Here is a 23,187-nt window from a genome sequence, read left to right as displayed (position 1 = left end):
TTTCCTAGTTTGGTAAAATATGCTGGGAGACACGGCATACTGTATACTCCCTCGGAGGGTTCCGGTACATATTAGCACTTTAAAGAGTAAGGAGTTCTGCAGTCAAAAACTATACATTCCACAAACTGCTTTGACCACAGAAGCCTAATTAACATGGTGCATTACTAACATTGTGTGGAACACACTTCGGGGGATGCAGCCTCAGGGCTAGACGCACAGAGGTCTGTCTGAGTTATTATGCCCCAGATACCTGTGCTGTCAATCATCTACTTGGGCTAAAGTGTCAAGTTCACCCATGAACGATAATGGTGAGAGACCATTTGAATTCAAACTGGCTTTTACCCTTAGGATGACTACATAATTTTGGGGACCCAATTTTACTTGCAACAAAATAAAAACGCAGGGCCCTGGCCAGGGGTGGGGCAGTCAATCTCACTTTCCCATAGGACCCCTGCCCCAACCCACAGCAGACCAGTGACCACCCCTCTCCTCCAGATGTACTTGGTACTTGGATGAAGGTGGGCAAGAAACCCTCACCGACATGCCCACCAAATGTGCCACAAGAGGTGGCATAAGGAATCTGTTCAGACCCATGGGATAAGGGGGAGGTTCCTCTCCTGCCTGAGGGTTCACACACAGCCCGGCCTCCTTTAGGCAAGGCCATGAAGAATTCCTCTTTCTCACTAGGGAGGATGGAAGCTTCCGTATGGGATAGAGGAAAAACCTGTGAAAGAAGCTAGATATGTGTAAAGGGGTAGAGAGAACTTGAGCAGAAGAATATGACAGTATACACGCCTGGAGGTGGTGATAAGGATGAGACCATTCATGCAAGGTGAGGGTCCTACTGAGTGGGTAGGATACAATTGCCTCACTCCTAGCTCCAGCCCTGCCACTCCCAGGAGGATATTGTGTTTTCCATTTACGATTAGTTAGCGAATCCCTGCAGAGATTCAGGAAATCCTGACTTACTCGCTGGCCAGTGGGTTGCTTCCTGGGGTGCATTCCCTAAGATTCACCCAGAGCACCTGCAAAATCTACTCCCTCTGGATTTGCTGTACAAGCAAGGGATTCCAACAGAAGAAACCTGGAGGATCCCTCACACGTATCTGAAGGTTTCCCTGGTGGCTGCACAGGTGAGGTTTTCACCTGGCCTTCACTCTGAGTAGGGGTCTATGACTCTGGAAGGGCAGGGAGTGTGGGAAGACACCTTGGTCACCTAAGTGGCAACAAGGAACAGAGTTTGATTTCTGGGCTGTGACATGGTGCTTCTGGCAGGAACAGATTTGTATCTTGGGGCTTAGCCTCTGATCAAGAGGATCTGAAATAAGCCTGGGAAAAATCTGAGTGCTTTTTGAATATAGCCAGAACAGCTCCTCTTGAATCTCTTTTTCATATGGCATTTCTTTATGTGATGTTTTTCAATTAGAAGGAAGTGTTCCTCTGCTAAATACCCCTGAAACCAAAAATGAACCAGCCAACCAACCCACCAAACAATGCACCAGCCAACTGACCCATCAAACAATGGACGAGCCAACCAACCCACCAAACAATGCACCAGCCAACTGACCCATCAAACAATGGACCAGCCAACCAACCCACCAAACAATGCACCAGCCAACTGACCCATCAAACAATGGACCAGCCAACCAACCCACTGAACAATGGACCGGCCAACTGACCCATCAAACAATGGACCAGCCAACCAACCCACCAAACAATGGACCAACCAACCAACCCACCAAACAATGGACCAGCCAACTGACCCATCAAACAATGGACCAAACAACCGACCCACCAAACAATGGACCAACCAACCAACCCACCAAACAATGGACCAGCCAACTGACCCATCAAACAATGGACCAGCCAACCAACCCACTGAACAATGGACCAGCCAACCGACCCACAGAACAACTGACCAGCCAACCAGCCCCCCAAACAATGGACCAGCCAACCAACCTACTGAACAATAGACCAGCCATTCAACCTACCAAACAATGGACCAGCCAATCAACCCACCGAACAACGAACCAGTCAACCAACCTACTGAACAATGGACCAGCCAAGCAATCCACCAAGCAATGGACCAACCAACCAACCCACCAAGCAATGGACCAACCAACCTACCCACCAAACAACGGACCAGCCAACTGACCCATCAAACAATGCACCAGCCAACTGACCCATCAAACAATGCACCAGCCAACTGACCCATGAAACAATGGACCAGCCAACCAACCCACTGAACAATGAACCAGCCAACCAACCCACCAAACAATGGACCAGCCAACCGACCCACCAAACAATGGACCAGCCAACCAACCCACTGAACAATGGACCAGCCAACCGACCCACAGAACAACTGACCAGCCAACCAGCCCCCCAAACAATGGACCAGCCAACCAACCTACTGAACAATAGACCAGCCATTCAACCCACCAAACAATGGACCAGCCAATCAACCCACTGAACAACGAACCAGGCAACCAACCCACTGAACAATGGACCATCCAATCAACCTACTGAACAATGGACCAGCCAAGCAATCCACCAAGCAATGGACCAACCAACCAACCAACCCACCAAACAATGGACCAACCAACCAACCCACCAAACAATGGACCAGCCAACCAACCCACCTAAAAATGGACCAGCCAACCAACCTACCGAACAATGGAACAGCCAACCAAACTATCAAACAATGGACCAGCCAATCAACTGACCAACCCAACAATCAAATGACAAAGTTTAAAACCATTGCTCTATTATACACATATGCACACATAGACACATGCATACATGCACCCATGCATTCACATAATTCCACTACTCCCTGCCACACAGAGTTTCTCTTCTTTTTTTGTTTCAAGCACCTAGCACCCAACCTTCCCATACAACTTGGGCTTGGAACTATTTAAGACACCATTGCTGGTGCTCAAGCTCCCACCTGTTTGGTTTCACACCTTGGTTTCCAGGTTTCCAGCCCCATGAACTGGTAACTGGGTCTTGAACTTGGCTGTGGTTTCTGCTATTTTGAGACCATCACACCCTGCCGTGTCTGCCACCTCCTCTGTGCTGTGCCTGGCTCCTAGGACAGCACCATGGTCTGGCCTTACCCCCGACCGACACCATCTGACTTGAACACATACAGCAGCCGACAGGGCCTCCCAATTCTCAGAGCACTCAACCTACAGAGCCACAATAGCACTCTGCTCTGCTGTTCTCACCACTTCTGGGAGTGATTTCTTATTCATGCCTTAACTCAGCATATGGCTGTTTCTGTTTTACGTGTGGTTTTTATTAATGCTAGGTCCCCTGGCAGTTCAGTGCATAAAAGGATGTGACTTGGGTTATACATGACTGTGTTGTCAGTGGCCTGCATTACTGTACTTCTTGGGCACTATTTGCATAAAAATACTTCACCTATTCAGAAGGGGAAAACATCAGTATGGAAAAAGGAATCCAGAAGATTCATGGACAGAAAACACATCGTGTGTTTGCTCTTATCATTTGGCAGCTCCAGAGTAGTTTTCCACTCTCTGAATAATTTATTATCACTTTTATTAGTCCTCTCTATCCAGGTTGATATTATTTTCTGCTTTACTGATACAGGCCCTGCTTCTCAGAGAAAGGAGACAGCAGATGCTGCAGCTGAAGTCTGGGGGAACCTGGGTAGGTCCCAGGGTGTCTAGAAGGGCTTGAAGCTAGACCAGCTGCACCCAAAAGCTTGGGGGTAAATCAGGGTCCTGATTGCTCTCTGGGGTCAGGTTAGAGAAAGTGAACTGCTGCTGCCCTGGTAGAATTCTCCATCTGAGCCACTCCTCCTGCCTCCCAAACCCCAAGCCTCTGCCACTGGCAGCCTTTCCTAGCCCAGTAACACATCTTCCTAACAGAGGCCAGTGTACTACTCTCTCTAAACACCACCTTTGCTTCAGATGCTGTGGAAGATAATATTTTCCAAAGGTGGTAGCAGCAATACCTCCCATTCCATGTACTCTTCCCCGAGATGATCTTGCCACCCTCCAGTCAAGAGGCAAAGTTGATGTCCCCCTCCCCCTTGAAACTGGGCAGGCTCGTAACTGCCTTGACATAAACTATGGTGGAAGTGACACTATGTGACTTTGAGGCTAGGTCCTAAAAGGAATGGAGTTTCTGCTGTGTGTCCACTGATCCCTCTGGGGCTCTGAGCTGCAACCATGAACGCAGTGTGATTACCACGGACCACCCTCCTGTGAGGAAGCCCAGGCCATCAGAAGAGGCCAAGTGTAGACCCTCAGGTTGACAGCTCCAGCTTAGGTGGCCCATGACAACCAGCATCAACTTCCAGACATTGGAGGAAGACAACAGATGTGCCTAGCCCCCAGCTGTTGAGTTGCCCCCTCCAGCACACGCTCTAAGCATCATGGAGCAGGGGAAAAGCCATCCCTTGATGCCAACAAAGGAGTTGTTAATGCCATTAAGGTTCAGATTAGTTTGTTAAAGAGTAATAGTAACTGAAACAGATGTAGGTTCTCAAATCCCATAGCAGGAAGCAATCCCATTGCTGGGTATTTATCCAAAGGAAAATAAATCAGTATCTCAAAGGGATACCTGCACTCACATGTTTATCACAGCACTATTCACAACAGCCAAGATATGGAATCAACTTATGTGTCCATCAATGGACAAATGGATAAAGAAAATGTGGCATATATACACAATGGAATACCATTCCGCTGTAAAAAGGAATGAAATCATGTCATTTGCAGCAACATGGATGGAACTGGAGGTCATTCTGTTAATTGAAATAATCCAGGCACAGAAAGAGAAATACTGCATGTTCTCACTCATGCAGGAGCTAAAAACACTTGATCTCAAGGACACAGAGAACAGAATAATAGTACCAGAGACTGGGAAAGGTAGGTGGTGGTAGAGGGTAGGAGTGAAGTGAAGTTGGTTAATGGGGACAAACATACAGTTAGATAGAAGAAAAGAGTACTAAGGAAAAAGACTAGGGTGACGATGCTTAGCAAACAATATTTTGTGTATTTCAAACTAATGAGAAGAGAGGACATGAAATGATATCAATGCATAAAAATGACAAATACTCAAAGTGATGGAAACCCCCAATAGTGACTTGATCATTACATAGTCTATGCATGTAAAAAACACATTTACACATAATATATATTTTATATTGATAAAAAAGTTAGCAGGACTTTAAAGACCCTAAATGCACAAATCCTCTAAATTCTTCTCTTCCAGGACTCAGTGAGCTTTAGGAACTTGTGAAATTCTAGCCAGTATAAATGTGGAATTGAAACTTCCTGAAGATGGGTTTTTACTCTCAGTTCAATCAGATGGCATAATGGAACTTCCCCTCTGCTAGTCTACTAATTTCAGACCTGACTAATTTCCAAAAAAAAAAAAAAGTGATAATCAAGCACTTCTTTTTCTAAAACTTACTTTGTCATTCAAGGGCTCTTTCTGAATAGGATTAGTTTATCATTCTGGATGATAGAGGAACAGCTTCTTATAAGGACAGAGGGAAATGATTCCTGCATTGCTCCTTGGAGACTGCCTGCCGAGAGCTGATCTTAGCAAGTCTACTCTGATTGTGAACATGATATTGATATCACCACCACTGCCCATGGATAGTTTCTTCCTTCCCCCAACCCCTTTCTACCAGCACCCCACCGGGCACTGTGCAAGGTGCTGGGGACATGCAGGTGAGCAAGACGGACATGATCCCTGTCCTTGTGGTGTTCAAAGATTGACATTTTCTGTCCAGATACTCTTTAAAAATTTTTATTATATTCAGAATAAAAATAAAGCCACATGGAAGCTTTTGGCCAATAAGGATATCTAAGTATGCATGGTAGAGGATGTAGGCTCTCAGACTGACTCCAACTCTGAGCTTGTGGGGAGAGATGGAGATCATACTAATCAATGTCATGCTAGCTGTTATGCCAAACTCTTCTGTTCAGAGGCTTGGCACACAGAAGTTTAGTTTTGATTCATGTTACTGGTTGACAGGTGTCATTTCACCCGTTGGTGAGCCTTCTCCCACCTTGCAGCTATGCAATCCCTTGAAGCCTGGGGATTCTGTGATGTGGCCAGTGGAACAGGGAAGTGGAGGAAAATGCCCATCTGCTTATTATCTGTCTTGGTTGACTGCTAGCCATTTGGAGGGAAGTCACTTAGCCCAAGTTAGATGCCAGGGGAGGCTGGGAGATGTAGTAGTCTCTGGCTGCACAGCCCTCCCTGCAGCAACCCTGCACTGTAGCAGGAGCAGGGATCTTGGCTTCAGAGTCACCCATCTCTGTCTCAGAATGATGTGGTTTTGCAAAGTCAAACGGGACACCAGTGGCTTGCTTAGGACTCCTGAGAGCTGGGGGCTTGGCCAGGAAACCTAGAAGGTGCCAACCTTCCTCTTTAGAGAAGATCTATTACACCTCCTACATCCTCTAAAAGGATTCTGCAAAATGCACGTTTACATGTGTCCCTCAATCTACTTTGTGAATTCCCTCCACTTGCTACATGCGAGAAAACATCTTTACCAAGAGACAAAGGCACTTTCTAAGCTGGGCATAAATACACCAACTTTTGTCCAACTTTAATAACAGTCGGTTATCTAATAATAAAGTGTTATTGGGGATACGCAGGTGAGCATACCCCCAGTAACACTTTATTATTTTTTTTTGAGGCGGAGTCTCACTCTGTCGCCCAGGCTAGAGTGCAGTGGCGTGATCTCTGCAACCTCTGTCTCCCAGGTTCAAGTGATTCTCGTGCCTCAACCTCCCGAGTAGCTGGAATTACAGGTGTGCACCACCACGCCCAGCTAATTTTTTTGTATTGTTAGTAGAGACAGGGTTTCACCATGTTGGACAGGCTGGTCTTGAACTCCTGACCTCAAATGATCTGCCTGCCTTGGCCTCTCAAAGTGCTGGGATTACAGGCATGAGCTACCACACCCGGCCAAAACAAAACACTTTTAACCAATAAGCATTTGGAAGACCCATTCCCCCTACTCCCCCACTAATTCATAGTAAAATACTGATAAGCCTGTCTCCATTTTGTTGGTGAAACACTTAAAGTCTTTCTTTGACAAAGTTCTCTTCTGTTTTTCCCTGAGAAACATGTAGCAAAATAATGCTATCTAGTGTTTCTAATGATGTGTTCCTGCAACAAGGGAGCTTTAATATCCAGTGCTTTTAATTTATTTTGTCATAAATTAATAAAGTATATATGATTGAGAGTAACTCATTAAATGTAAGTGTCATAAAATAAGGCACTTAGGTAAGAAAAGCGTGAAATGCTTCTGATGCACTCCTGAATGTTACATTAAGTACATAAATCATCTTTGTTTTCTCTCTGCTCAACAAAGAATCCAGCCTAGGAGGTGTATGTAATTAGTATAGTTGTATTTTAAATGATCCAGGAAGCATATGAATAGAACTTGCCCAAATATCAGAAAAGGGAGATTCCTCTGGCCAATTGGATTTTTTGTCTTTTTTAACGAACTCAGCTAGACAGTATGAGGTGTGGCCACAAAAACCAATACGCACTTTAAATAATTAAGAGCTTTCCGAGAACAAGTTCACCAGCTGAAAGACACAGTGAACCCACTCACAGCTGGAACCTCTCTTTGAATGGGATGACCCAGGCTGGAAAACGCATCAGAGGAAGTTTCCTAGGGACCCTCCTTGTGGAGCCCCCTTCTCTTTCAGGACCAGATCTAGAGCAGGCTGGGAAGCGGGTGGAAGGGAGGCCTGGCCCAAGATGGGGTAGGCATGTGGCCCCATCTGTTCTGGTTCATGCTTGAAGTAGACACAGCTGCATTCTGGTGAACTGGAGGCTGACTTATGGAGCACTTAGCACAGACACTGGCTATCCAAAAGCATGTGATTTGATTTTGGTTTAAAAATCCAGCATAGCAATTTCCCACGATTCCTGTTCCCACTGGCTCCTGTTTCATTAGCCAAGCAAAGCTTATGTGGAATGTGATATCACAAAATAATATGGGAGAGAATGCCAGTGCCAAAAAGCCTTTACCCTGTGGCTCAATTAGAAATGGATTATTACCCAAAGAAATATGGCATGTGCAGAAAGGCCATCAAGGAAGACTGGATGATGAACAGCAATAATAATCACCACTCGGGTAATCATTGACCAGCAGCAGGGGTACCAGTGACCACTGTTACTGCAGCACTGACCCAGGGCCATGTTCCAGGCGAGCTGATTTGCACCCCAAACCTTGTAGCCCACCGTGTAAACAGGCATTATTGTCTCCATTTTTTTTTTTTTTTTTTTTTGAGACAGAGTGTCACTCTTGTTGCCCAGGCTGGAGTGCAATGGTACAATCTCAGCTCACTGCAACCTCCACCTTCCGGATTCAAGCAATTCTCCTGCCTCAGCCTCACAAGTAGCTGGGATTACAGGCATGTGCTACCATGCCCAGCTAATTTTGTATTTTTAGTAGAAATGGGGTTTTGCCATGTTGGTCAGGCTGGTCTTGAACTCCTGACTTCAGGTGATCCACCCGCCTCTGCCTCCCAAGTGCTGGGGTTACTGAAGTGAGCCACCGCGGCTGTCCTGGATCCATTTTTAAATATGAGAAAACGGAAGCTGCAGGAGCCCTTACAAATAACTTACCCAAAGTCATGTGGGGTGTAAACAGTGGATCTGAGAACTGGAACAAGCCTGAGTCAAAGCTCAGGTCCCTTCCCTCCACACGTGGTCTCATTCCTTTCTATATCCCTGGAGCCTCCTGTGCGTACAACACTTGTATGTACCCCTGTGCCGCATGTGGCAGGAAAGTGGGTTAGTTATTTGGGAAGCCCGTATAATGTCTGTTTCTATGAAGGGCAGGGTGGTCGTTCCAATTTAGCTAGGATTTGTATACAATAAAGGCAAAAGGGGTGCCAGCAGAAAAGAAAAGAAAGAAAAGAAACACATCTGCTTTAGCTTCTGTATGGCACTAGCATGTTTTCTCCTTTTTGCTTTTAAGCTTTAGAAAAATAAAAAGCATCAAGAGCTTGACAGGACATTGCTTTCTAGACAAATGGATCACCTCACATTTCCATCTGGCTTTCAGCTCATATCCTGGAAGGTCATGACAATGATAAGTTCCACATCAGTTCTCTGCCCCTCCTGTCAGGACTTGTCTCAAAGTTCATCTCTGCCAAGAAAGGCTCCTTCCTCCTGCAACAGCCTAAAACAATGACAGGGCACAATGCTGTCCTTCTTGCTGTGGGCTCCAAATCAGCTACCTGGTTAATCTGAACTGAATCTTCATAAGGAGGAAGACTCAGTTACCTGGGGTTCTACTATGTTATCATCATCATCATTATTATTTTATGACCTCATGATCATCATCATCATTTTAGGACCTCCTCCTTGTCATTTTATATATATACATATTTGGCTTTTTTATTTTTTTTTTTCAGAGAGGGTCTCACTCTGTCACCCAGGCTGGAGTGCAGCGGCATGATCTTGGCTCACTGCAACCTCTGCCTCCTGGATTCAAGTGATTCTCCTATCTCAGCCTCCCAAGTAGCTGGGACTACAGGGACGTGCCACCATGTCCAGCTAATTTTTGTATTTTCTGTAGAGATGGGGTTTTGTCATGTTGGCCAGGCTGGTCTTGAACTCCTGGACTCAAGTGATCCACCCGACTCAGCCTCCCAAAATGCTGGGACTACAGGCATATGCCACCACGTCCAGCTAATTTTTGTGTTTTCAGTAGAGACGGGGTTTCGTCATGTTGGCCAGGCTGGTCTCGAACTCCTGGGCTCAAGTGATCCGCCCGACTCAGCCTCCCAAAATGCTGGGATTACAGGCATGAGCCACCATGCCCAGCCCTCCCCCTCATCATTTTATGACCTCATAATCATTATCATTATCAGCATCATTTTATGACATCATCATCATCACTTTATGATTTAGAGAGAGCAGTAGGCATGGTTTGAATGAGTTTTGGTATCCACGTTAGGAGTCAATCAAAGATGGTTAGGAAATCCCTGGACCAAGAACAGTTTAGAACTTTTTACACACCATCGTGTTTAATTTTGTTCATTTCAAACACGATCTACACAGAAGCTGTGGGAGCCCACAGGAGGGACACTCAATCCCACAGTGACCTTTGGAAGTGGGAATTAAAGTCTCCATTTTTTTCAAGTAAGAGCTGAGACTAAGAGCTTTCAGTTGACTTACCTATGACCATGTTGCCAAATAAAGGAAGAGATGAGTTTCCTGCCCAAACTATCTAATGGCAAGCATATGTTCTTATCATCTATCACAATGTCCCAGCATGGGCTAGTAGCACTCCTACCTCTGTTGCTCCAACCTGCCCAGGCACCGCCTCCAGGTTCCTTCCTATAAGGACAGATAGCGCTGACCCACTTCTTTCCTAGTAGTATTTCTGGAGAGGTCTGAGGCTGCAGAGCACAGGGCTCTCTTGCCCTTTCTCTGAGCATCTCTGGACTCATTGATAATATGAATAAGTTGGATCAGAGAATCCTCAAAGTCCTTTTTTGATCTTTCCAGGTCTCTGTGCAGATGATCCTTTGCTAAATGTGGTGAGATTTTTAAGTTTCAATGTGCCTATCGGCTGGCTTACTAGTCTTGACTCGATGAAAAACCACATGGAAAGTAAGAAATGGCTCCACATTTCTTACATTGGGATAGGATGGGGTGGTGCCTGAGCATACTGGTTACATCCTGCAAATCCGTACACACTTGTGACTTTTGTATGCCGCCTACATGGGCCCTCCTTCTCATCTGACCCGCACAAAGATTAACTGATCCTCAAAATCCACCAGTTGAAGGATGCTCCTCTGGGAGACCATCCTTCATTGCTTCCCACCTTTGATTTCACTGTCACATCTATCTTGCAAATATTCACAGGGACCATGGCACTTAAGCTAAAAATGTTACCAAATCCCTTGTTGATAATTCCAGCCTCAGGTATCATGACCGCATAAAAGTCATAATTACACTCATATGGCAGTTATTTAAATGGCTGTTATTCTTCAAACCCGCACCTTAAACACAAACATGAGCGTTGGCACTGACCTTTCAAAGAATTTCAGTGAAATTGAAATAACATTGCTATAGCTGAATAAGACAAGCTCTGGAATTATAAGGTTATAAGACAGATAACCTTCTTAAACTGCTAAACTTCAAAGCCATATCCTTGATTTCTGTTCAAAGATGAATAGCAATCTCAGATAATTGGGATGTGGGATGGCTGAAGTATAGAAAAAAAGGAGATCAAGAGGTAATGAAAATGTTCTGCTTGCCTCAGTGAAAGCCTAAAAATCACTTGTAGAAAGAATATTCTGAACTTGTCTGTAGGGGTGTTTGGCTGTCATTGAATTTCACTGGGATGAAGCCAGCATATGTTAACTGAGATGTGGTGGTGGGGTGGGGGGAGATGCCAGAGGAAAAATAAATGAGCTAATCTATGAATACCACAATGATAGGATGAAAGGGAAGACTATATGGAGTGGTGGGACCTGGTGTAAACTCAGACGGTGATGTCACAATCTGGGGCATGTGGACGATGTTCTGTTTCATTTCACCACTGATGTATTCTTGAATATGGCAAGTGTTGTCTTAAAACAGGCAGAGACAACCCAAACCTATTCAGCCTCCCCCATCTCATTTCTTCCTTTGCTGACACCGGTGCCCATTATGACTTCTCATTTAGACTTGGAGCATTGATTACATGATTTCCTGTGGCTGTACCAGACATCTGCTATTCAGCTGGCTATGTGTGTGTGTATGGGGCATGGTATTTTGCCTTAGGCTAGCAAAATCTCCTGGCTATACATGAGGATGTGTATGCATAATTGCCATTATTCACCACCACACTCAAGCCATGGGCCAAATTACAAACTGCAGTCTTCCAATATTTTGTCAATTTTTTCTAAACCAGTTACAAAAATAAACACACAAACAAACAACAAAAACATCAACTGTAAGAGTTATGAATGTAGCTCATCACTTTCTGGGTGGATAATTCTTAGAAATCAGACAGGAAAGGCTGGGTGCAGTGGCTCATGCCTTTAATCCCAGCACTTTGGGGGGCCAAGGTGGGCAGATCGCTTGAGAGCAGGAGTATGAGACTAGCCTGGGCAACATGGCGAAACCTCATCTCTACAAAAATTATTTAATACAATAACAATAACGAAGAAATCAGACAGGAAATGAGACTGCTATGAGGTAGGAGGAAGGGTGAAGGTAAAGGGCATTTCCACTTGCTCTTGTCACTGCTGTATCCTCAGTTCCTAGAACAGCACCTGAGACAGAGAAGGTGCTGGAAAGATTTTGTGGAACGAATGAAGCACTATCTCTCTCCTAGGATGAGGGGCCCTGTCACCTTGTTTCCAAAGGGGCCTTACTCTATAAAGAACAACTGTTGATAGGAACAACAGGCTGGAATGTGTCTGGGGTTCAGGGTAAGAAATGCATCAGCTTTCTGAAATGTGAGGCCTGACAGCAGGAAGGCAGGGAGATGCTGGGCATCGCTAATTAGGGCTCCCTTGGCAATGCCTTAGCATTTACCACTGTGCCTGAAAAGTTGTACAAATATTTCCTGAAAAGAAGATATTTCCCATGTTTTCAGAACACTTGAGTTTGGTGAAAATGACAATTAAAGTGCTTTTTATCAACAGAAGAGTGTGATGTAGTCTCAAAAAGTTGACAGTTCAACAAGTTTTATAATACTTCAGGATTCACACTCAAAGTTCTTGCTACTGCTCAGGAACTAGGCATCCTGTCCCCCAACAAACAAACACCTGACAGTCATTCCACCTCTTATGTGAAATGGGACCGTATGCTGTAGCCAGTTACATAATTAGTACCATGAATCCTACTTTTGAAAGCAGCTCTGATTATACTAAAAACTTCTGGAGGCTCCACTTGCCTGGAGAATAAAGCCCCAACTCCTTGATCGGGCACCCCAAGTCCTTCCCATCTGGCCTTCAGCTGAATTTGGAGTCCCAAGATCTACTGTGCCCTGTCTTCACAGCCAAACTACAGCCAAGCCAGTCTGCCCTCAGCTCTCGCCCCATTTCCTCCATATATATATATATATATATATATATATATATATATATAATTTTTTTTTTAATAGGAGACTGTCTCCCACTCAGTTGTGAGTTCCTTAGGGTCAAGAACAACAATTGTCATCCACATCTGTCCACGTGCCCACATAGATATCAAAGAAGTATATGTTGACCTGGATTGACCTCCAGCCTTGTCCTTCATTCCATTTTCTACAGAGTCGCAGCAGCTGCATTTTGAAAGATCCAATCTGATCATTGCTTCCATGACTCCTGATATTCACACTGGAAGTGAAACTCCTCAGCATAGTGTAGGAGGCTTGCCAGCATCTGCTCTGCCTAACTGCTGGGTCTTCTCTTTCACCTTACCCCAATTACATCCTACATCCTAAGAAGAGCTCCGTGCTCTTTGTCCAGGCTGTGTCCTTTATCCAGGCTACTGTCTGCTTAGAATGTTCTTGACCTTCTCCTTCGGCACCTAGAGAACCATCTGCTTGTCCTTAAATAAATTGTTTCTGGCTAACTTCTTTTTTTTTGTTTTGAGACAGGGTCTCACGCTGTTACCCAGGCTGGAGTGCAGTGGTCTGATCACTGCTTATTACAGCCTTAACCTCCCAAGGCTCAGGTGATCCTCCTGCCTAGTCCCCTGAGTAGCTGGGACTACAGGTGCACCATCACGCCTGGCTAATTTTTAGTATTTTTAGTAGAGACAGGGTTTTGCCATGTTGCCAAGGCTGGTCTTGAACTTCTGGGCTCAATCAATCTGCCCTCCTCAGCCCACCAAAGTGCTGGGATTACAGACAAGAGCCACCATGCCAGGCCCTAGCTAACTTCTTCTAAGAAACTTTTGTACCCTGCCCCAGGACACATGTATCTGGACATGTATCTGGGCCTTCCCCCACTCTCAGCTCCCTTGCATGCACCCCCACCCTGTTTGGCTATCTGACTCCCTTTCCAGAGTCCATTTATCTTGTATTTCTAGTGCATTGCCTAGAGAAGACGCACAGTAACTATTTTCAGAACAAAGCTCCGGTTTGCAACTGCTCCACTCTGCTCTTTAGATTTTAAATGGCCGATAAATGTTACAGCTGCAAGACCCGATATGGTTCCTGCGTAAGTCTGGGTGGCAAGGTACACACACCGGGCCCTTGCAGGGTTTAAGATGAAAGGCATCTAAACTGCCCTTTTCCCTTTCTTGGCTCTACTGTTGCTCAGAATATCTGAAGCAGAATCAATTGGCTGGCTTACAGAAAGCCTGGAACTACAAAAGGCAGAGAAAAACATCTGTCACCACTGCACCGTTCACTTTTTTTGGCAGCTGCATGATAGCAGAAGGTCTCAGCATTTGCTTTCGAAAGCAGGTCATTACTGCTGCAAATTCCTGGAAGACCTTTGGACAAGACTGAAAATGCCCCAGATCTGCTCCAGCTCTGCTGACCTCTCAGATCTGAAAAGCTGCATTCCTGTTCCAAGGTCAGAGGGGCCAGGAGGCTGTGTGTCATCACACATGTGCTCAACAGTCTCTCCCAAACACAGACCTGATACAGCCACTTCCCTGTGCCTCCCCTAGATGCTAGGTGGTCCAGGAAACTGTGGTTCCCAAGCACCCTCAAGCGTCTCATGACTGAAGCCCTCTCTGAGTTCTGGGCACTATTGCTTCCTCAGAACATCCTTGTGGCCACCTTCATTGAGAAACAGTGAAGATAAGGGTTGGGCTGCCTATCATATTGGAGAAGGAAGCAGCTCATTGTACTCCTGGATGGTTGAGTGCTTGCTAGGAAGACTAAGGCAGGGGCTGAAAACCCAGATGAGTTAGGCTGAGAGGTTTGCCCATTCACATCTAATTCTTGACAACAGTATCTGATCATGAGAAGCCCTGATCAGTGTTCTTGTATGCCCTGTGAAGGCACTAGGGCCACAAGTTGATTTCTTCAGGACTGACACTTGCATGCAGCATAGGGGTTGGCACTCTCGTAGTTTAAATTGGCCACCACAAGGCAGCTCACGAACAAAGCATGGGCAACAGCCTTCAGTACAACCCACAGAGGCTATCACAACACAGTACTTGTTCCTCGCGTTTACACAGCATGTTACAGTGTATAGGGCGCTTTCATATACAGCGTGTCATTTGATCACACAGCAGTCTTTTGTACAAGACAGTGCATATATCATCACCTCCCATTTACAAATGGGCATCTGAGGCTCTGAGAGCTTTGAGGACTTGCCCACGGAGCCTCCCGTCATGAGTGGCAGAGGACCAGGGCTTGAAGAGGACCAGGGCTCGAACATCCTCTGGGGCTCAATGGAGTCACTCATCAGTTCTACATGGTGAGGTGAATCCTAGTTCTAACATTTGGTAAAATCAGCAGCATTTAAAAAAAAAATCTGTAGCTGGGACTCAACAACTCCAGGGCATTTACAGTTAAAGTGCAGCCTGTGGGCCAGCAGCACTAGGATTCCCTGGAAGTTCCCTAGAAAAGCGGAATCTCAGATCCACTCAGACCCACTGAATCAGAGTCTGCCTTCAACAAGACCCCAGGGAGCCTCACAGGGCGTTGCAGGTTGCGGAGCTCTGTGCTGGGGAACACATGCCTTCCTCTCTCGGCTCCGGCTTCACCCTGGGGAAGCGGCTCAGTTGGGGAGGGTTTAGAGAAAAGAAGCTTCCATCTGATTGCCTCCTGATAACTGCAAGAAAAGCTGCTGTATCTGTCCAGCTCCCCTCTTGGTGGAACAGGTCTCTGTTCATCTCCTTTTCTTCCCAGCTCCCTGCTAAACACTTTTAGCCAAGAGACTCATCTCCTCAGACAAATCAAAATCTTCTCTCTGGCATTAATTTTGATAAAGCATGAAGATGAAAGATGTGATTTCAGTCTTCCTTGATCTCTGAGAATCCTAAAGTCTGTTTAAAGTACTCCCAATATGAGTTGTGACAGAATTGTGATGTCCTAAGGAAGGTCTGTGATGTTAAAATTTTTCTCTCCTTTTGAGGAAGGATCTCTCTTCACCCCTCCAATGGTGTATATGGCTTGATTGACATGCCTAATAATTGGCTGGTAAATTAGCATCTCTGCCTAGCCACGGGGCTAACACAGCTTATAATCAGAAAAAAACAAACAAAAAACAAAACAAAACAAAACAACTTTTTTAAAGAGCTGGAGCAGAATGTGATGACAGAAATTGGGAAAGCTTTTAACCAGTTTACCAATAAAGTTGGGATTATCCTCCCTCTTTTACATTGTTCGCCAGTTAACAGGGCAGTCATCAGATTTTTTAAATGATTCTTTTTGAGCACTTTTTATAGGAAGACAATAGGTTGAAATCAAGGTGCTGATGCTTTTCTATGTATAACTAATCTTCAATGACCTTCCATTTTTTCCTACATTGACCGTATAAGCACCACTTGATCTTGATTCCATCTGTGCGGTTTTCAGCACAATAGTTTAATGGTGCCAGGCCCGCCCTAAGTGGCTGGTGGTGACAGTCTTCCCAGGTAAGTGGTAGCCATGGAGCACATTTGGGACAACAGCCAGTGTTACCACTTGGGGGTCCTCTTTCAGCCTGTATGGTTGAAGGTAGCAGGAAAGAAGAATTTCATCTTCTCTCCCAATAATTCTTGATCAAGAACGTGCATATAAGCTCACTTTGAGCATTTCGTTAGAGGCAGTAGCATACCATCCTAATCAGTTTTAATGAAGGGTTACCGCCTAATTACAAATTAAATACACTTAGGGATACTTAACTGTTAAATACATCATTTACTAAATATTAGCTTTTCTCTGGGACTATTTTACTCTTGCCTTTGGGACAATCTTGGGTGCTAATGATTTGTTTCCTTCTGCTTTTGGCTTCTATTCAGAAGAGGGTGCATTAAGTGCCTCTTTAGCAATTTCTGGCTGGTCCATGAGCCACTGGTTTAGGTCAACCCTGAGGATCAGAATTCTTTGCACCAAATCCGTTTCACTAAGGGGACATGTGAGACTGGCCATGTGATTCTATTCAAGCTCCATCAGAGCCCCCTCCTCCAGAATTCGTGCTCTGATTTACAAGTTGGTATTTTAAAGGAGCCAGAATTCCCTCTGAACATTAAAAAAGTATCACACCCGTACTTCCAGCTACAAGTTTACAGGAACAACATGGTAGATTCCCGGAAAGAAATTCTGGTCCAGGGGTAGACCTCCATTTCCAAACCTCTTTGTTCCTTGGACCCAATGATGTTTTTAGTTACCTTGTATCTTCTAAGGGGAACTTCAGGACATAGCAATCTTATGGGGTTATGTGTTTGTCAGGGTGGGGTGGGGTGTGGTGGGGAAGAAGGCAGTGGTGAAGGAATGAAGACTCTTAAATGCTCAATTTCTCCTCACCTCTGGGGCTGATAAAAGTTTCCAGGGCCTACTGTGTCACCTTGGCCAGCATTCATTTCTGTTTCTTTTTTTCTTTTTCTTTTTTTTTTTTTTTTTTTTTGACTAGGCCTGATTTGGGACGCCCATGACATGGCCCACAGAAGGCCTCCACTTTGGGGAAACACGAGATGCTCTTAATTGGCACAGATGAGCGCCACGGGTCAACACCTACAGTGTGACTCCCGGGGAGGGCTGCATGAGCCCTCCTGCATACTGAGGTAGGGGTTGAGGTCAGGGTTTCTGGCCTCTTTTTGAAAGGGACGTCATTCCAATGGACTCCATTTGAGAAAATATAGTCAACAAAGTCCAGACACTGCTTTGGTTTTGACCATCACACTGGGAGATATTCAGACCCATGCAATTACATACGCGAAGGGGGGCATGTCTTGGGATTAGAAAGAGGATGAGTAAGGAAGTCTCTGCAGCGAACATCTCCGCGAGGGAAGTCAGCTACAGGAAGCGTCCGAGTGACCTGGCTCCATGGCCTTGCGGTCCTCACCCCAAGCTTGCTGAGGGATGAACTGAGCTACACAGTTCTCCCATTTCTAAGCGTTCTGGGGACCTACTACTTGCCGTCTCTGGAAGACGCTGCTGCCTGCTTTTATATAAAGGGGCTCCCAGGGCTGAGGGGCAGGAGGTAGAGGAAGGAGGCGTTCACTACCCAGGGTAGACAGAATTCTGCTCCCGACCCCACTGAGAGCAGGTGCATTCACTGCAACATCTCTCCACGGGCTCCCACCGGCTCATCCCAGCGCCTGCCACCAGGGGCAGCTCTGCAGAGTCAGCGCTGGATGGAGCAGCCCGGGGTCAGGAGGCCTCCTCATGCAGGACGCGCCTACCTGTATCGCTGCTTCACAGACTGCTTCTCTGTGGACTTGCAGACGTGCCCCACGTAGTACAACGGGAAGAATAAAAAGTTCCAGTTGGTGGCAAACCACGTGAGGGTGAAGGGCGCGTCGAACTTCCTGAAGGTCAGCTTGGCGAGCTGCGTGGAGCCCGCCCACGAGGAGCACACGCACAGCACGACCGCCACGCCCCAGAAGATCTTCTTGAGTTGCGCCCGGGAGCACGTCCAGCAGCGGCGACTCGCTCTCCCGCCGGCCTCCACCCCGGCCGGTGCCTGGGCCTCCGCCGGGCCCGGGGAGTCCCGGGGGCGCTCCTCCCCTGGGGAAGAGAAGGGCGTGGTTAGCGGGGCCTGCAGACCTTCACCCCTGCACTTCGCAGGGCGCTGCCCTGCAGCCATTGTCACCACCAGCTACCTGGGGGCCCGGGGAGATAGCGGGTGCAGGGGCGGCTTCCAGGGCGGCTGTGTGACAGCAAGCTGCAATAGAAAACGTTTGCACTGGTTTTCCTGTCCTCCAGGTCCGAGGCTCTCCAAGTGTGGTCCCTGGGCCGGGCAGCGTCAGCACCCTTCCCCGTCCGTCCCCGGAACGTGTTGGAAATGCAGAATCTCAGGGCTCACCCCAGACTCCAAAATCAGAACCTGCATTCCTCAGGTGATCTGCGTGCTTTGGGAAACACTCCTCCAGAACACACAGAGCAGCTGAAATATCTCCACTCTCATTTATGTCAGTTGACGAGTACTCACGTGCTCCTGGGTGCGGGGCAGTACTGGGGGCTGGAGATTCCTACAGGGGGAGGTCCTGACCTCTAAAAGGTCCCAGTACCTTGACAGAAGTGGCCTGTTACTTAAAGGCACAGTTGGCCAAGACTCTCTCCTCTTATTTTGTACGTACAGCAAAAATAGACTTCGCCACTCTTACTTTTCTATCTGCTTTAACTGGCTTCCTGCTGATAGCCTCCAGTCCCACTTCGAAGCTTTACTTAAAAACCACAACCTCTGGCAGCTGGTGTGTGAAAGGCCACAGACACTCCATTCTAGAGCGGTGTGATTTCTGGAAACCAGGCTGCAGCCCAAAGCTTGGCTCTGCGGCAGTGTTGTTCCCGCAGACCAGAGGAAGGTGAAAAGGCGTTATTTTCCACTGTTTGCTTTTTCATTCATGATTGTGTGCGTGTCAGTCAGCTGGAAATTTAAACAAAGCTGTAGCTTGTGTCGGGTGTAACTACGGATGGATGCAAATTTCCAGAAGGCAGTGTACTTGCCTTTTATAATGATGTTGTGCCTGGCACCTAGCTGAATGGAGGCACATTAGTGCTAAGAGGCCATTTTCACTCTAGGGGAGGAGATGAGTCCTGAATATATTGGGGTCAAACGTGCTTTCTCTACATTGCTTAAACTTAAATAACTTTAATAACAAACTGAGTTTTGTATATCATACTTTCTGAAGCATTATGAGTCTATGAGGCAAAATTGTGATTCAATGTAATCTATTTTTCAGGTGTTAGCTAATATCGTTAACCACCAGCTGTGCTGTATCTGTTTTAGCCAAAGATAAACCGAAGCATTACATGGTTAGTCAAAGAGAGATAATGTACTTTATTGGGCCAAACTGTTTCACACCATCTCTATTGTGCTTCATTACTTGCTTTATTAATAACCTCCCTCCTTCTCTAACTTTTCATGTGCTCACATATCCAAGTTGAAAAGCCCCTGGAAAACCAAATGTCTCGCCACCCTCTGAGCTTCTGACAAGCCGTCTGTTCCTGCATGGGCTGCAGGGCAGAAAGATGTGGAGGACAAAAAGGAAGATTGATTTCCAGCCTTTTGGGGGATCTGCGCGCTTATGCCCTCCTACCAGGATCTCTTGACTTTCCTCACCGTGAATTTCCACAACTTAATGCAATTGCAGTTTCAGACAGAAGCATGCACATTTCAATTTACACACGGATTACCTGCCATTTTGAATTAACATCTGCAGCTGTTCATTATCGGGATAATTTGCAAGGAGTGTTGGAGGTTAGAGGGGTTTGTCACTATTAGCATCACTGTCAAAAACTCATCCTGAAAAGATGATTGTAGAGATGAAAAAAAAGTTCACAAAAATAAAATGCAGCTTCACAGTAATAACTTCCAGTGAAAGAATGGACTCCAAAAGAGGCTGAATAAATTCAGCTCACAGCATGTTTCTTCATTGAATGTTTTCATTATAGCAAATTAAGCTTTAAAACTTAGCAAACTAGGCAGTGATGCTGCATAGCTTTTACAATGAAGGAGAAAATCATCAAATCATGTAATTTGGTATTGCTAAAATGTTTCTATGGATTTGGATTAAAGAAGTTGTTCTCTAACTTTGTAACCTCTCTGGATCCTCAAAACAAAGGAATATGAACAATTACAAAAAAAATTAAGACACTTAGAACCAAACTCACTACACTGTTATTTGAAAATAACCACATATAAATAGAACGTTTTCCAAAATGTAATGCAGTTAACAGGCGTTATAAGGAAAACATATTCCATGCTTGGATAGATTTGAAAAACACCAAGTAGAACAGACAGGTTCCTTTGCTGTAGGAATATTCAGGGTCAATGGATATTGTGAATTTTCAAGAGGCTGCTTCCCATATTATTTAAATGTGTAACGCCTGTGGTAGGGACTACTGTGCTCTGGAACATACTTTGGGAAACACTGGAATATACCCATAAAGAATAATAGACAACCAAACCCCATTCATTGCAAACCTCCCACTTCACTATACTGTGTCTCTTATAATAATAATAATCACTCATCAATTTCATTACCTCATTCTTCATACTGCTAAACACGTCACACCTCATATAAATAAAAAGTATTCTTTATACATACATCACAAAAGTGCTAAATAGTAAAAAGAAAAAGCAATTTTTAGTGATGTTAGCACCCAGGGATATCACAATTCACATTGGCTGCCGCATTTTCCCTAGTCTTTTGTGTCTGTGCAACACACAGACACACACACATACACACACCCCTCTCAGCAGAACCGTGCCCCTAGTACAAATGGACACACAAACCCACACACACACACTGAAAAATTGGGATCACACTGTGTTTTTATCTTTCATTTATTTAACCTAACTTATAATGAACGGCATGCACTTTTTACATCTCACAGGGCTATGTATGGTGCAATGCATCCTCAGAGCCTTTCAATCAGACAGGAAATCACTGTGAAACATGTGCCCTGTGCCAAGAGCTTTGGGTGGTCTATAAATAAGTGTAAAGCATGATTACCATCTTTCAGGAATGGACAGTCTATGTCAGAGTGACGAAAGATCCATGAAGGAATTACAGAACAATTACGTGTAAAATAGAGATTCTGACTATATAACAGGAATTCTGCAGAGAGCGTGGCCAGTGTGCATTGGGATAATAGTGAAAAGAATCAGAAGAGGCAGGTGGTTGGCCTGGGTCTTGGAGGATAGAACATAAAAGTAAGTAAAATAGGAGCAAAGTTCAGGGTCAGGAATACACATGACCTGGAGGGGCAGTGAGGATGGTGGTGAGATCTGAAATGCACTGCCATCTCGTCACTCTGCAATGCCTCATCTTGCTTTGGTTAGACATGCCACAGGAGAAACTGCCAGGTTTGCTGAAGGGACTGGAGCAAACTCAGATGTGGACTGATCCTACTTTATTAAGGAAGTGCAAGCCACAACATCCATAACAAAGTAATATAATTAGTTGAAGAATAAATGTAGAGTGACACAATAATTTTGCTTAGCAGATGCATTTATTTTCTACTATTGGAAATGCAACAAATGCACCCCACACTTGACATCATTTCTAGGGTCATTTTCAATGAACTGGCCAATTGATGCTCAAACAGGTTTCAGACAGAAGGAGTTACAATGAGGAAGCTATATCTCTTTTCAGAAGCCTTTCAAATCTTCTAAGTGTAGGAAACTTTTGTTTAATTCTGCCCCCCACCTCCAAAATTTCAGGTCAAGTGTTGCCTTTGTTTGATTTCACTCTTTTATCACAGTTGAAAGAGGCAGTGCCGGCCGGGCACGGTGGCTCACGCCTGTAATCCCAGCACTTTGGGAGGCCGAGGTGGGCGGATCACGAGGTCAGGAGATCGAGACCATCCTGGCTAACATGGTGAAACCCCGTCTCTCCTAAAAATACGAAAAATTAGCCGGGCGTGGTGGTGGGCACCTGTAGTCCCAGCTACTCAGGAGCCTGAGGCAGGAGAATGGCGTGAACCTGGGAGGCGGAGCTTGTAGTAAGCCGAGATTGCGCCACTGGACTCCAGCCTGGGCAACAGAGCTAGACTCCATCTCAAAAAAAAAAAAAAAAAAAAAAAAGAAAGAAAGAGGCAGTGCCTCAAGGAAATCGATGCCAAAATTTGTCTCACACTGTTTACTGCCACAGCTCCTGGGACCATTAGTACACAACTAGAAATACTATTTATGTCACCCTCACCTTCACTCTCCAACACCCCTTCCCCACTAACAATCCCTCTGTTTATGATCATCTTGTGCCTTAAATTCTAATCTTGTACTTTAGCCAGCAGTTCTGGGAGCAATGCAAAGTAGATTATACACTCTGGCCCAATGCTCGTGCTGACAGACGCTGTAATTGTGGATTCAAACATCTCCCTGAAGCTGTGTCACCTCTAAATTCTGTTTATGCTACTTAATTCATCCATAAATGCTGGAGGACAGGCGGGTTCATCCCAGTTCTGTTGCCTGAGTTGCTTCCATTGAGCACGTGTGTGTGTGTGTGTGTGTGTGTGCACGCGTGCGCGCACGCCAGTGCAGGGGGAGTGTTCTTTTGTGCACTTTATATACTCCATGGCATGGTGAGATGTAACCACGCCTGTGTGTGAGCTTCCATTTTAGCCCTGTCTTAGTG

The 23,187-nt window shown here is 45.5% G+C and overlaps 1 protein-coding gene across 2 annotated transcripts in view, besides 1 other annotated feature; it reads right to left on the bottom strand.

Moving 5' to 3' along the window:
- SLC35F3 (solute carrier family 35 member F3) overlaps nt 1-23,187 on the bottom strand; it is a 419,836-nt gene that overhangs the window by 74,482 nt on the left and 322,167 nt on the right. For both annotated transcript variants that reach the window (NM_173508.4, NM_001300845.2), the window contains one exon: nt 18,289-18,613. In NM_173508.4, coding sequence (NP_775779.1) covers nt 18,289-18,613 — 325 coding nt within the window. The remainder of the gene's footprint in view (nt 1-18,288; nt 18,614-23,187) is intronic.
- Nucleotides 3,067-3,206: an enhancer, noted in NCBI's record as "active region_2746". NCBI's record gives its function as "activates an Ori minimal core promoter by ATAC-STARR-seq in GM12878 lymphoblastoid cells {active_cell/tissue: GM12878}" and the evidence as "EXISTENCE:reporter gene assay evidence [ECO:0000049][PMID:35858748]".

This window comes from Homo sapiens, chromosome 1, assembly GCF_000001405.40.
Source record: "Homo sapiens chromosome 1, GRCh38.p14 Primary Assembly".
NCBI lineage: Eukaryota > Metazoa > Chordata > Mammalia > Primates > Hominidae > Homo > Homo sapiens.
Note: the sequence above shows the minus strand (reverse complement) of the source record. Positions and strands in the feature narration are given on the sequence as shown.